This window comes from Homo sapiens, chromosome 6, assembly GCF_000001405.40.
Source record: "Homo sapiens chromosome 6, GRCh38.p14 Primary Assembly".
Classification (NCBI taxonomy): Eukaryota; Metazoa; Chordata; class Mammalia; order Primates; family Hominidae; genus Homo; species Homo sapiens.
This window is the reverse complement of record NC_000006.12, coordinates 41,128,376-41,143,027: the sequence shown is the minus strand read 5'-3', so window position 1 is coordinate 41,143,027 and position 14,652 is coordinate 41,128,376. Positions and strand designations below refer to the sequence as shown.

The 14,652-nt window shown below is 40.4% G+C and overlaps 1 pseudogene across 1 annotated transcript in view; it reads right to left on the bottom strand.

Moving 5' to 3' along the window:
- Positions 1-2,192: 2,192 nt before the first annotated feature.
- ADCY10P1 (ADCY10 pseudogene 1) overlaps positions 2,193-14,652 on the bottom strand; it is a 39,802-nt pseudogene continuing 27,342 nt past the window's right edge. The window contains exons 18-23 of the transcript NR_026938.2: positions 10,515-10,734; positions 7,687-7,843; positions 5,467-5,671; positions 4,302-4,419; positions 2,959-3,172; positions 2,193-2,430 (exon numbers count right to left, since the gene is read on the bottom strand). The product of NR_026938.2 is annotated as an ADCY10 pseudogene 1 (transcript). The remainder of the gene's footprint in view (positions 2,431-2,958; positions 3,173-4,301; positions 4,420-5,466; positions 5,672-7,686; positions 7,844-10,514; positions 10,735-14,652) is intronic.

Below are 14,652 nucleotides of genomic sequence, written 5' to 3'. Positions count from 1 at the left end.
ACACGGACTTTCTGTATGACCTGACAATTCCTGGAAACGCCAAGATAGGTATATATGCAAGAGAATTGAAAGCCTATGTTCACACGAAAACTTGTACATGAATGTTTACCATAGCATTATTTATAACAATAGTTAAAAACTGGAAACAACCTAAATGTCCACCAACTGATGAACAGATAAACAAAATGTGGCATCATGTGCCACAATGTGGTACAATGGAATGTTACCTGGCCATAAAAAGTAACCCTACACCATAAATGAACCTTGAAAACATTATGCTAACTGAAAGAAAAGGCCATGTGTAATAATTCCATTTATATGAAATGTCCAGAATAGGCCAATCTTTAAAGACAGAAAATATATTAGTGGTTAACAAAGATTAGGGGAAGGGGAAATGGGGAGTGACTGCTAATGGGACCAGAGTTCCTTTTTGGGGTGATAAAAATGTTCTGGAATTAGATAATGGTGATGATTGTACAATCTTACAAATATACTATAAAGCACCGAATTGTATACCTTAAAAGGGTGAATTTTATCTTAATAAAAAAAGTGCCAAAAGGGAATGCCAAAAAAAAAAAAAAAAAAAGGATGAAGTAGTGCAGGGTGTTATTACCTATCACCACCATTTGTGGGAAAGAAGGATGCAGTAACTATATACTATTGCTTACATGTGCATAGTATAATTTTGCTAGGGTACACAAGGAAGTGGTAACACTGATTATCTCTGGGGAGGGCAACTGGTGTCTGGAAGACAGAGATGGGAAAGAGTTTTTCACTGTTACACACTTGTTTCTCTTGAATTTTGTACCACATAAATGTAACATCTACTTTTAAATATAAAAGCTGAACCAATAATAATAGCTACTAGTCACTGAGTGCTTACTATATGCCAGGTGCTTTATAGTCATTTAATCTTCACATTGACAGTCTTTTGTCCTATTTTTAGGACAAGAGGATATTTTAACTCCATCTAGAAAGGAAAAGGAAACTTTCTAGAAAGGAAAAGGAAAACTTCCTTTCAGAAAAGGAAACTGAGGCATATAGAAGATAAATTATATGCCCAAATGAATGCAGCTAATAAGCAGCAGAGTTAGAATTTCAACCCAGTCTATCTGGTTCCAGAGTCCTTGTCTGGACTGCTACTCTATATTACCTCCCAGAAATTTAAAGGAATGAGGAAGGAGGACAGAAAGTGGGTTAGAAGAAGAAAGAAAGGAAGGAAGGGGTAAGATGGGAGGAATGCAAGGGGGAAGATGAAGGGAATAGAGGGACAGGAAAAAGAAAGGTAGCAAGAGGGAGAAAAGTGGAAGGAGGAAATGTATAGATTAGATTGCATGATTTAAAGGGTAAGTACAGGCCTCCCTTTCATAAACTTCTCCCTTCCTGTCCTTAAAGTTCTGATCTTGGCCATTTGAAGAGAATAGTGAAGACTGGGTACAGGAAAGCCTAGTTCCCATGAAAGCCTGCATAGCCTAACATAATCTCTGGAATCAAATCTGACTTAGAAGCTCAGATCTACCATTTTGTGGCTGTGTTTGTTGGGGTAAACTCTTTCTAGCCTTCCATTTCTTCATCTGTAATATGGGATAATAATAGTACTTACCTCACAGAGTTGATAAAGGATTTAAACAATGTATTTCAAGCACAAGTAAGTAAATAACAAATTGCAGCTATCATAACATTAGCAAATTCACTCTATGGACACTAGATGATTGAGTTATAAAGTGTAAGAAATCAATGGGAAGATCATACTCAGCAGAAGAAACACCATCAAACAGATAAAGGCCAAAGATGGCAACTCCAAAGAGAAGAAAAAGGAAGAAAGCTAAAGTTAATACATACTCTGGCAACTTCACAATTTTACCTGGGAATGCCCAAATCACATAGCACAAAGGAGAAATGGATTCCCACAGCCCTTTGTACCTCTCAAAAGACTCCTTGACTTCTTAGGAGCCCATTACCATATCTGTGCCAAAAGAGGGCAACACCAAGGCACTGCACTACCAGCCTTCCTTAAGTAATGGCAATTTCTTTATTAGGGTCATAGTTTTTCATCTGCTAATGGATCTCACCTTATAAAAGATGGAATCAGTTCATCTTAAAGCCTTCCAGGCCTCCCGTCTACTCCTGGTTGTAACTTCTGGTAAAGTTGTGCTAATGACTTTTAAGAGTGAAAAAAAATCTAAGTGGCATGTTTTAGAAAAAAATAGTCTTTTATTTTGATAAACATGTAGATAGCAGTAACTATAAAGGCTAGTATACTTAATATGTACATTATATCTTTTAAAGGAGAATCTGGGGCATTTCCTTGTGTTATATACAATAACAGAATCATGGTCCCTTCAGGTTATTGTTCTTTTGTTTTAATACATACATCTTGAGTTTCTTCTGCATCCTTGTTCTCCTTGACATCAGCCACTCTGTCAAATCCTGAAAGAAGGAACACAAAGAATGTCACAAATACAAAGAATGTCCTCAGCAATTACAAAGTTAAATAGCAGCCATGGGAAAGAAGATTTGCAGGCCTCTGAGGAAAGGAACTATATTCTTTCCTCTCCTTTTCTTGCCTAATCTTATCATTCACCTTCATAGACATTACATTGTGACTTCTAAGACCTTTTTCTCTCCTTAGTGACCATCCAGTTACTTCAAGGAAACAACCCAACTGCTTTGGCTAAAAGCAAGGAAGAACTTTCTATGCCAAAGAGTTACCAATACTGAAACAAAGAGCTGAGAGAAGCTGAAGAAATTGCTGTTTAACAATAGAAGGGATTCCTATCTGTCCAGGCAGGGCCTAGCACTAGGAAGAGGATTATACTTACCTCTGGAGCAAGGACTAACTCCTTACATCTGTGTGTCCCTTTTTATTTCAGAGGTGCAGCCTTTGACTGCTTGTGAGTAAGAATCTGAGACTGTCTTTATGTCTCTCACACAAGGCTTCCAGGAAGAAATGCTTACTCTGTATTCCTAAGTTTCTTTTCTAAGAGTTATTTTCCTGCAGAAATTCTCCTTTTATCCAAATCCTGGTCAAGCAGGTGTCAAAAGGTCTGATGCTGTTAGTCAGGGACATCAATTCTCTCTTTTCACATCTCATTACAGAGGCCTTAAGCTCAGATACCCACTGGTGATAGACAGGGCAGGTCACACATTGAGAGAAGAACTCCTTACAGTACTGAAAGGAAAGGAAGGTCCATTAGCTCTGGGATTAGTGCTTCATTCTCCTAACATGCTACTTCATCAGAACTTACAAAGGTCCTCATTCAGCATATTCACTCATGGCTGGGGGAACAGGAAGGAGTTACTGATGGCAAAATAAGCCTGGAAAACAGAGGAATTGGAATGTGTTTTAGACTCAGAAGGGCTGGAGGGAGCTGTATCAAATTATAGACTGAACCATAGACTACAGGTCCATTGAGCAAGGCTAAATGTTAATATTTTAATGATACTGGGTAGCAGCTGGCAAAGGTGGAAAGTTAAGAAACCCAGTCCAGAACTAGATGCAATAATATCGGGAAGGATACATAAGGTAGGTAGAAACTTTCTAGGTGGAGAAACAAAGGATTCAAAGAGTAAAGGGAAACAGAGCCAGTAAAAGGGAAAAAAGGAAGAGATGCAGGTGGTAGAAAGAGCACCATAGGGTAGAACTAAGTGAATCAGGTGTTAGTCAAAGGACAGCTGAGAAACAGGTACCTCAAGGGTTTGGCTGTGAAGCTCTAGAGGAATATGCATGAAGATACCCTCTGGCATTTTCTGTAACATTAACACATGGCATTCTAGGAATCGGACAAAGCCATGTGCACCAAATAGCGAGGCATTGGTTCTTTTCACCAACTGCAAGCGTTGGAGAAATAGTGCTTAAACAGGTCCCACTGTGATTCCTGGGCAAACCTGGAGGAAAAGAGTAACAGCTTGCAGCAATATCCGCTGCTTACCCACCATGACTTTTGCTTAAAATCATCACTTCTTTAAGGCTCTAAGACCTCATGGACAATCAGAATTGTGATGCTAGAAAGTGACCAAGGCTACTAACTCACATACAAGGAAACTTAAAAGGAGACCAATTATATTCAGCCTTGCTATGGGTTACTCTAGCAGTTAAATGTAACCCTAAACGTAACCCTTGACCTATAGGCCAAAACCTGTTAAAGGACAAGAGCCCTTCTAATAAGATGGGAGGGTATGGGAGGTGAATGGTCTTTAAAAGTTGGTTAGAGAGGTTCAAAAGTCCTGTCTGGTGGGGAGAGACAGCTTAAATGACATAAATGTCTATCCTTTTCCACAGCCCTTGAGTAAGACATTACCACATGGCCAGGGAGGAGTGGACCCCCAGCATGACATTGCTCTGAGAGGTTAGAACACGGCTGTGCTCGTAGACTTGAACGAAACGCAGACACTCACTAAAGGGCCGACACAGCAATCCTGTGGACAGAGAAGGTAACCACGCTAGTATATAATATCAGTGTAGGAACCAGGGTATAGAAGGTATGTGATACAGGGAAGGAAAAAAGACCCCAAAGGCAGACACCCCTGAATCACAACATGGTTCCCAGACTTTAAGGAGCCAGAGGTCAGGGGCAGAGGCCATGCCTGAGGGACAGGTTCATGACTGCCTGTATTCCAAACCTAGAGCCCCATCTGAGGTCTGAATCCCTCAGGAGTACAGCAGAGACCTGCGCAAGATTTACCTTTTCCATAGAGCAGCAGATCTAAGCAAGCAGAGTAAAAGCAGGCCAGGCCAAGGACATCATAACTCTGAGAAATGAGCGCCCACTGACTCTCCAGTACATGGACACACAGACCAAATCTGCCGAGAGAGAGAGCCACTGGGACCAGCTAGGGAGTGAGGAGGATGGGTAGGAAAGGAAGGGGTCTTACACCTTCAAAGCAGCCTAACATCCTTTAAATCTCTTCATAGCTCTATTTATAAAGAGAATATCTAAGCCTGGGATCAGACCCATCTCTAGGCAAAGGAGGTGGGAGATTGCCTCTGAGGCAGTTTCCAGAGTCTTCAGCTGCTGCAATTCTCTATCTCCCTGCAGATTTTTTTTTGAAGAAACTTTGTCCATGAGACCCAAGTACTGAGGAATATATAGTAGCTCTGACTCTGCATTTCCACTCCTGACTCTTCCACACTTAAGATAATGTGTCTGGAGTGGCCAAGGGAAGGATATCCCAGGGTGTGGAAATGGAACAGCATCTCCCTCTCCACTCCAAACTTCTCTGGGAAAATATACACACCCCTCTTAGGAAACAAATACAAATGACAGAAAATGATCTTAATACTTCTTCAGAAATGCAGATCTGAAGAGAACTGAGAGAATCAGATTCTCCAGAGCTGGTTTCTGGAGGTGTCTGCATATCTCACGAGCTTGAAAACCTGAGGAGGTTTAAGAGCACCATGTGAGGTCTAGCTGTGAACATGTACTCTCTAAAAGCCCTAGACCCACCATCCCTAAGTCCCATTACCCAGCTTGATGGAGAAGTCAAGATGACCAAGGCAGAGCTTGGTGTAGGCCAGGGCCTGCATGAGCTGAGCTGTGGCCAACAACCCCTCCCTGGAGAACCAACATAAACTGCTTTTCTGAATGGCCATCTGCTCACAGTGCAGCCACTTGTCCTTGATGCCCACACTCTGGGAGAACTGAGAGAGCTCCACATAGGTAGAGACAACATGCAGGGAAACAAACACAGGGCAAAATATTCCCATTGTATATTCATGTGACATTTCCATTTTGATCCTTTCCTATGTAAGAGCCTATTATGGTGCCCTGCTGCTCACCCAGTCTAAACTCCTGGTATCCCACCACTTGCCTCCAACCCAGCTAGAAAAACATGCTCCTTCTCACCCCTACACTTCTAATTGGATCATTCTCACTGCATGTTCTTTAAACAAACCACTTTCTCTACATGCTCCTGCTTTTCCTCTCCAATCCATGACTTTCCCTTTCAAAACACTGATTAAACTCCCTCTTCTTTGTTTTCTAATTTAAGACCTCTGATATTTGCTCCATAGAGCTCTTCAGGGCTGCTGCCTAGATCTCTCTATATAACTATGTGCACATTTGAAATAGTTAGTGCTCTATATAACTATGTGCACACTTGAAATAGTGCTCTCTTCTTGGAACACTGTCTTCCCTAACTTTCCAGGATGCCATGCTCTCTTGGTTTTCCTCCTATCTCCCTGGCAACTTATTCTGTTTCTTTTGCTGGTTTCTCCTTACCACTCTGACCTTTTAACACTGGAGCTGTTAACAAAGTTCCTGGACTTTTTCTCCTTTCTATACTCATTCCCTTGGTGTTCTCACCCAGTCCTGTGGCTTTAAACAGTATTTGCACACTGATGGTTCCCATATGTCTATTTCCAGCTCAGACCTCTCCCATGAACCCCAGACTTGAGTATTCACCTGGACTCATATTCACCAGACTTGTCTCCACCTTGATGTCTAATGGGCATCTCAAATAAAACATGTCTAAAGCCTAGCTCCCAAATCTTCCCCCAAATCTGTTCCTCCTGCAGACTTCCCTATCCCAATTAAGAGCATCTCTGTCCCTCTAGAAGTTCGGGTCACAACTTTTCAGATTATCCTTGACTCTTTTCTTTCCCTCACATCCCAGAACTGATCCATAAGTGAATCCTGTTGGCTCTATTTTGACAAAAGACCACCCCCAACTTTTTTTTCCCTACCACAATAATCCAAGCCATCACCATCTCTTGCTTAGATTACTGCATTAGCCTCCTAACTGGTCTCCCTGCTTCCTCCCTTGTCCCCTTCAGGTTACTTTCAACACAGTAGACAGAATGATCTTATTAAAATGTAAGTAGATACTGTCACCCCTCTTCTCAGAACCCATTAATGGCTTCCCATCTCTTTCAGAGTAAAAGCCAAAACTCCTACAGTGGCCTAAGGTCTGCACCGTTTGCCATCCCACCCCTTCCTGGTCCTTCTGACCTCATCTCTTGGTTCACTCTCCTCCTCTTCCTCCCCTCCAGTCACACTGTCCTTCAAACACAGAGTGTATGCCTTGGGCATTCACTGTGCCCTCTGCCTGGATACTCTACTCCCAGACAGCCTGGCTTTCTTGCCTCTTTCAGATATTTACTCCAATGTCACCTGCTCAGCAAAGCTTTCTCTGACCACCTTGTTCAAAACTATACCCCACCCCTCACCTCACAGAACCCCATATCCCCTTGCCTCCACTTTATTTTTCTCCACTGCATTGATTATCACCTAACATACTCTATATTTTACTTATTATATTTCCCTGGAGTCAAGATCAGTGCCTGGCTTATAATAGGTGTTCACCAAATAGTTCATTGTTGAATATGTGGATAAGACAGAGAGAAAGATAAGACACTAAAATGAGGAAGACACATTTCCTTTTGTTTTTTCCTAGGTCAGCAGTTTTAAATCTTTTTTAGATAACAGGCTTCTTTGAGAATCTGATGAGAGCTATGACCCCTTTTCTTCCTCCTGCCAACCCCCAAAGGTTCTTTTGAATATACACATAAAATTCTGCATTCAGTTCAGGGAGTTCGCAGATAATCTCATACCTGGAAACCCATCTATAAACTGCAAATTGAGAAACCTCGCTTGAACAGTGTTGTCTGGGTTATTGGAGAATCATGCTAAAACCAGGAACTTGGTTTCTGAGTGAGGTCCAAAGGTAAAGCAAGGACTTGCTTACCTGGGCTTCATTTGCAAACTCATCAGCTGAATTCTTCTGCATAAGAGTAGCCAGGCAGGCAAACCTGTAGCTACTGGCTGTGGCCTCCAGGTTATAGAGCTGCCAGAGTAGGGAGAGGCAATGCACCTGCTGCTGCAGGACTGCCAAATTCTTCTTACTGTTGTGAGGCACAGGGTGGTTAGCACACCCTTATTCTTTACTAATGCCCAACGTTCCCTCCCTATAAGAGCTCCAATCTACTCATCATGGGGCCATCTACAGATGTTCAAATTCAGAAATAGTCCTTGGATCCCACTACTCCTAACCTCATATGCCATTTTGATTAATCCCACTTGATCGGGAAAAGTTCAGAGAGAGGTTTCAAAAAAAGATTCATTCTTTGAATCCCTATTTGCTACATGTAACTGGCTGGGGGAGTAAGGTGGAAGAGTTAGAACTGTATGTTATACACTTATCTGTTACATGCATATATATATGTATGCTGACTGTTACATGTCTTGTTATCTGCTTGTCTGTTAGATGCTTGAAGATTACTTGATAGAAAAAGAGTAGTTTTAGGTCAAAAAGGCAAAGCTCAGGCTAGTTAACTACAGTTTTAGGAAGACTTCTCACTTCTCACTAGGGTCGTTTGGAGGTTGGCTCAGGGTACAGGAATGCCAATACTTTTCCAGGAATGTCTGGAAAAGGACACCAAACCAGGTCCAAGGGAAATTCCTTTTCAGCAGTCGAAGGGCTTTCCTAGCCAATTTTTTGGCTAAAGTGATACGTCCCATGTTGAAACAGACCTGGAGATGGGAAAAGAAGAATTAATGTAAATATAAGGTTTTGGATATAACACACTGGCTCTTTCATTTTGAGATGTGTAGTTGGGGTTACTGAGGTGCTAGAGTGAGCTGAGCTAGAGCATAGCCTGGTTAGCAGTCACCCTAACAAGCACCAGTATGGCCATAAGTGAGTAAAGGGTTTAGAAAATAGGATTATGGAGAAAGTATCCTCCCTTCTCATCTCCCACACATTTGTCAGTGGGCAGTAGAGGAAGGCTGTGATTTAAAATGTGATGCTGCTAGACTGAGAAGGGATCGTCATTTGAGTGGAGACTCAGATGCTCTCACATGACATAGAAAGCATCTATAATATCACCAAATCCTTTATCTCTCTTCCTAAACAGGTTGAATCATAGTAGATGTGGGGTGGGAGCTGGGGAACTACCTTGAAGTTATCCTGTATCTTCACATTCTAAGGCTGAATCCCTCAAGAAAGTGATAAAGTCTACGTGATTCTAGAACAAAGAACAATCTTGGGAGGACTGTACAATAACTTTCTCTTATAAAGGGAAAGAATAATTATTTAACTTTGCTCTGAAGACCTCTTGGTTGAAGCATAAATAATGCAACAATGTGACAACTCTAATATTCCCTTTGGCCTTCAAGACATTATGTACATTAAGTTTACTCTCCTAACCCAATTATCTTAAGGTTTACATTAAAATTAGTTTACATATACTCCAATGAGCAAATTAGTTTATATCTACTTCAATGAATAAGAATGGATAATTTACAAAAAATACAAATGACCAATAAACTTAGAAGAATGATGTATCTTATTAATTAAGAGAAACACATTAAAACAATATAACTTTATCTAGGAATTAGCAAGGTTAGAAAAGACTGGTAGTATCTGATCTTAGTAAGGATATGAGGAAATGGAAAAAACTTGAATTGATATAATATTTTTGGCTGGCAATTTGGTAGTGTATTTGTGAATTTTAAAATTGTGTCTTAGCATTGCCACCTTTGGAAATTTCTCTTACAGAAACACTCTCACAAGGGGAGAAAGAGATACTTAAGAAGAATATTCACTGTAGCAATGTTTATAATAATCCCCAAATTAGAGATAACCTAAATGCACCTGAAGAAGGGAAGAGCTAAGCTATGATCTAGCCAATGGAATACTTGGCAGTTGTAACTATGTGGTGGATCAGTATGCATACCAAAATGTAAATATGTTCCGTCTGTACTATTAAGAATAAAAGCAAGCTGCAGGAGCAAGAAAATGTAGAATATGAGCCTATAAAAAAATGGAAAACAATGATATGGCTGTTTGTATACAGTTGGTGGAACATGCACACAATTACTAATTATGGTGGTGGGTGTAGGATTAGTGGGAGCTCTTTCACTTTCTACCTATTACATATTTCTATATTTTAAATGTATATAAACGTTTTATCACATTATCACATTTATAATCATACACAAAAAACAATGAAAAGATTTTAAAAGAAATAATAGGGTAACCCTCAAGGAGAAATAGCCGGCACTTCAAGGTCACTCCCTGCCCTCACCTCTGACAGAAGACGGCAGAAAGTGGCCTCCTCAAACTGACAGATCTTCACCTTCTGTTTTTTCAAAAATGAAAATGCTGAGGGTTGGCCCAGAAGACTGCTTGCCTTCCTCAAATAAAAGAAGGCCTCCAAACAGGGCAAGGGATAAAGAAACCAGATTAGGATTAGGATGATGCTGGGGTGAGATTAGGGCAAAGGCTGGAGTAAGGTTATGATGAGGGTCAAGATCAGAATTTGAAACAGATTTGGATTTCAAGCTAGAAACGGGAGCTGGACTGCTTGTGCAAGAGTCAGGGGCAGTGCTGGCACAGGTTGGTGCTATTCCATTACCACATTCCCACTGCATGTTTTTTCCTAAATCCTTTCTAGCTCTTCTCTCTCTCCTACTTTCTTCCACTTTTCACTCATGGTTATGATTGTAAGAGATCTCAATCACATTCTCAAAGTAAAAGGCTCAGCTGAAGGGCAGATTACAGAGCCTGCTCACCATATAATTATCTGACAGGTCCAAGCAGGCAGCCGCAGCCTCCAGCAGGTAATAAAATGCACAGGTGGTTTCTCCAACGACCAAGCAATGCTGGGTGAGGGGTAAGAGCACTAACTTCAGGATATCCTTACAGTGACAAGGCTTTGTGGTCAACAGGTCTTTCTCAGGGCTGGTCTGAGCCAGCTTCCTCTTCACTTGATCTAGGAACTCTTCCTCTGTTCTTTGTGGAAAGAAAATGAAAAACTGAGAGTGGCCACCTTTACTGGGGCATTACCGGGTCTCAAAGTCACTTTTTCCAGGAAGTCTTCCTGTATCATTCATTAATTATTTGCCTATCCTTCTCCTCCATTACTCCATAAAATTTTAAAAGTCAGGGACTACAGCTGTAACTGCAAAGCTCTATTAGGAATTTTTAAAAGCTGAAAGCCAATCTAAATACCTCAATCTAAATGGGGAAATACCACACTTGAATAGTTAAATAACAACTAAATATTAAATAAAACATAAAAATGATACAAAGCAATAATAATACATTTTTTCTGTTAGCATTTTTGAATTTTCTAATACCACATTTTAATATTATTTTATATATCATCATCTAATCCTACAACAACCCTGTCATTCAGGCAGGCAAAAATTACCTCTTTTAGGTCATTGAGGCTCAGAGAGATTACATATAGCTTCGTAGCTATTGAGAAGCCAAACCAAAACTAGAGCTTACCACTCTGACTACTGATCTAGTGTACTTTTCACAGGCACGCTGAGCTCAAAAGTCAGATCTCTCTGAGTTATAATGATCTAAAAAAGTGGAGACTGAGGAGGGCCTTGAAGGATGGTCAACATATTAATAGGTAGAGAGATGTGGAGGTCACTCAGCATTTAACAAGGGAGAATTGTGTGAGCAAAGACACACAGGTTAGTGTGGGAGTGGTTCATGTGGAATAGATTTTTGTTTGAAAACAATAAGAAATCAAGTTAGATAAGTGGGATGGAAAACTGTATATAGAGTGGCTGGTGAACTCCAGGTAGGGACATTGAACACTGATAAGCATTAGAGACCCAGGAGGTACATGGTTAGGAAATGTATATTCATTTTAATATCATCTGGGCTAAAATAATTAACAAGACAAATTTATAGCTGGAAATAAATATGCTACATATAAAATGCACTTAAAAGCTATTAAAATGCTGGGTGTGATGGCTCACGCCTATAATCCCAGCACTTTGGGAGGCTGAAGCTGGCGGATCACCTGAGGTCAGGAGTTTGAGGTCAGCCTGGCCAACACGGTGAAACCTCATGTATACGAAAAATACAAAAATTAGCCAGGCGTGGTGGCATATGCCTGTAATTCTAGCTACTTGGGAGGCTGAGGCAGGAGAATTGCTTGAACCTGGGAGGTGGAGGTTGTAGTGAGCCGAGATGGTGCCACTGCACTCCAGCCCGGGTGACAGAGGGAGACTCCATCTCAAAAAAAAAGGTATTTTAAAAAAGTTTTTCTCAACCATTATCCTTGATGAACATTGATGCAAAAATCCTCAATAAAATACTGGCAAACCGAATCCAGCAGCACATCAAAAAGCTTATCCACCATGATCAAGTGGGCTTCATCCCTGGGATGCAAGGCTGGTTCAATATACACAAATCAATAAATGTAATCCAGCATATAAACAGAACCAAAGACAAAAACCACATGATTATCTCAATAGATGCAGAAAAGGCCTTTGACAAAATTCAACAACCCTTCATGCTAAAAACTCTCAGTAAATTAGGTATTGATGGGACGTATCTCAAAATAATAAGAGCTATCTATGACAAACCCACAGCCAATATCATACTGAATGGGCAAAAACTGGAAGCATTCCCTTTGAAAACTGGCACAAGACAGGGATGCCCTCTCTCACCACTCCTATTCAACATAGTGTTGGAAGTTCTGGCCAGGGCAATTAGGCAGGAGAAGGAAATAAAGGGTATTCAATTAGGAAAAGAGGAAGTCAAATTGTCCCTGTTTGCAGATGACATGATTGTATATCTAGAAAACCCCATTGTCTCAGCCCAAAATCTCCTTAAGCTGATAAGCAACTTCAGCAAAGTCTCAGGATACAAAATCAATGTACAAAAATCACAAGCATTCTTATACACCAATAACAGACAAAGAGCCAAATCATGAGTGAACTCCCATTCACAATTGCTTCAAAGAGAATAAAATACCTAGGAATCCAACTTACAAGGGACGTGAAGGACCTCTTCAAGGAGAACTACAAACCACTACTCAATGAAATAAAAGAGGATACAAACAAATGGAAGAACATTCCATGCTCATGGGTAGGAAGAATCAATGTCGTGAAAATGGCCATACTGCCCAAGGTAATTTATAGATTCAATGCCATCCCCATCAAGCTACCAATGACCTTCTTCACAGAATTGGAAAAAACTACTTTAAAGTTCATATGGCACCAAAAAAGAGCCTGCATTGCCAAGTCAAACCTAAGCCAAAAGAACAAAGCTGGAGGCATCACGCTACCTGACTTCAAACTATACTACAAGGCTACAGTAACCAAAACAGCAAGGTACTGGTACCAAAACAGAGATACAGATCAATGGAACAGAACAGAGCCCTCAGAAATAACGCCGCATATCTACAACTATCTGATCTTTGACAAACCTGAGAAAAACAAGCAATGGGGAAAGGATTCCCTATTTAATAAATGGTGCTGGGAAAACTGGCTAGCCACATGTAGAAAGCTGAAACTGGATCCCTTCTTTATACCTTATACAAAAATTAATTCAAGATGGATTAAAGACTTAAATGTTAGACCTAAAACCATAAAAACCCTAGAAGAAAACCTAGGCATTACCATTCAGGACATAGGCATGGGCAAGCACTTCATATCTAAAACACCAAAAGCAATGGCAACAAAAGCCAAAACTGACAAATGGGATCTAATTAAACTAAAGAGCTTCTGCACAGCAAAAGAAACTACCATCAGAATGAACAGGCAACCTACAAAATGGGAGAAAATTTTCGCAACCTACTTATCTGACAAAGGGCTAATACCCAGAATCTACAATGAACTCAAACAAATTTACAAGAAAAAAAGCAAACAACCCCATCAAAAAGTGGGCGAAGGACATGAACAGACACTTCTCAAAAGAAGATATTTATGCAGCCAAAAAACACATGAAAAAATGCTTACCATCACTGGCCATCAGAGAAATGCAAATCAAAACCACAATGAGATACCATCTCACACCAGTTAGAATGGCAATCATTAAAAAGTCAGGAAACAACAGGTGCTGGAGAGGATGTGGAGAAATAGGAACATTTTACACTGTTGGTGGGACTGTAAACTAGTTCAACCATTGTGGAAGTCAGTGTGGCGATTCCTCAGGGATCTAGAACTAGAAATACCATTTGACCCAGCCATCCCATTACTGGGTATATACCCAAAGGACTATAAATCATGCTGCTATAAAGACACATGCACATGTATGTTTATTGTGGCACTATTCACAATAGCAAAGACTTGGAACTAACCCAAATGTCCAACAATGATAGACTGGATTAAGAAAATGTGGCACATATACACCATGGAATACTATGCAGCCATAAAAAATGATGAGTTCATGTCCTTTGTAGGGACATGGATGAAATTGGAAACCATCATTCTCAGTAAACTATCGCAAGAACAAAAAACCAAACACCGCATATTCTCACTCATAGGTGGGAATTGAACAATGAGATCACTTGGACACAGGAAGGGGAATATCACACTCTGGGGACTGTGGTGGGGTCGGGGGAGGGGGGAGGGATAGCATTGGGAGATATACCTAATGCTAGATGACACGTTAGTGGGTGCAGCGCACCAGCATGGCACATGTATACATATGTAACTAACCTGCACAATGTGCACATGTACACTAAAACTTAGAGTATAATAAAAAAAAAAATTAAAAAAAATAAAAAAATAAAAAAAAATAAAAAAAAAAAAAGAAAATGTGGCACATATACACCATGGAATACTATGCAGCCATAAAAATGATGAGTTAATGTCCTTTGTAGGGACATGGATGAAATTGGAAATCATCATTCTCAGTAGACTACTGCAAGAACAAAAAACCAAACACCGCATATTCTCA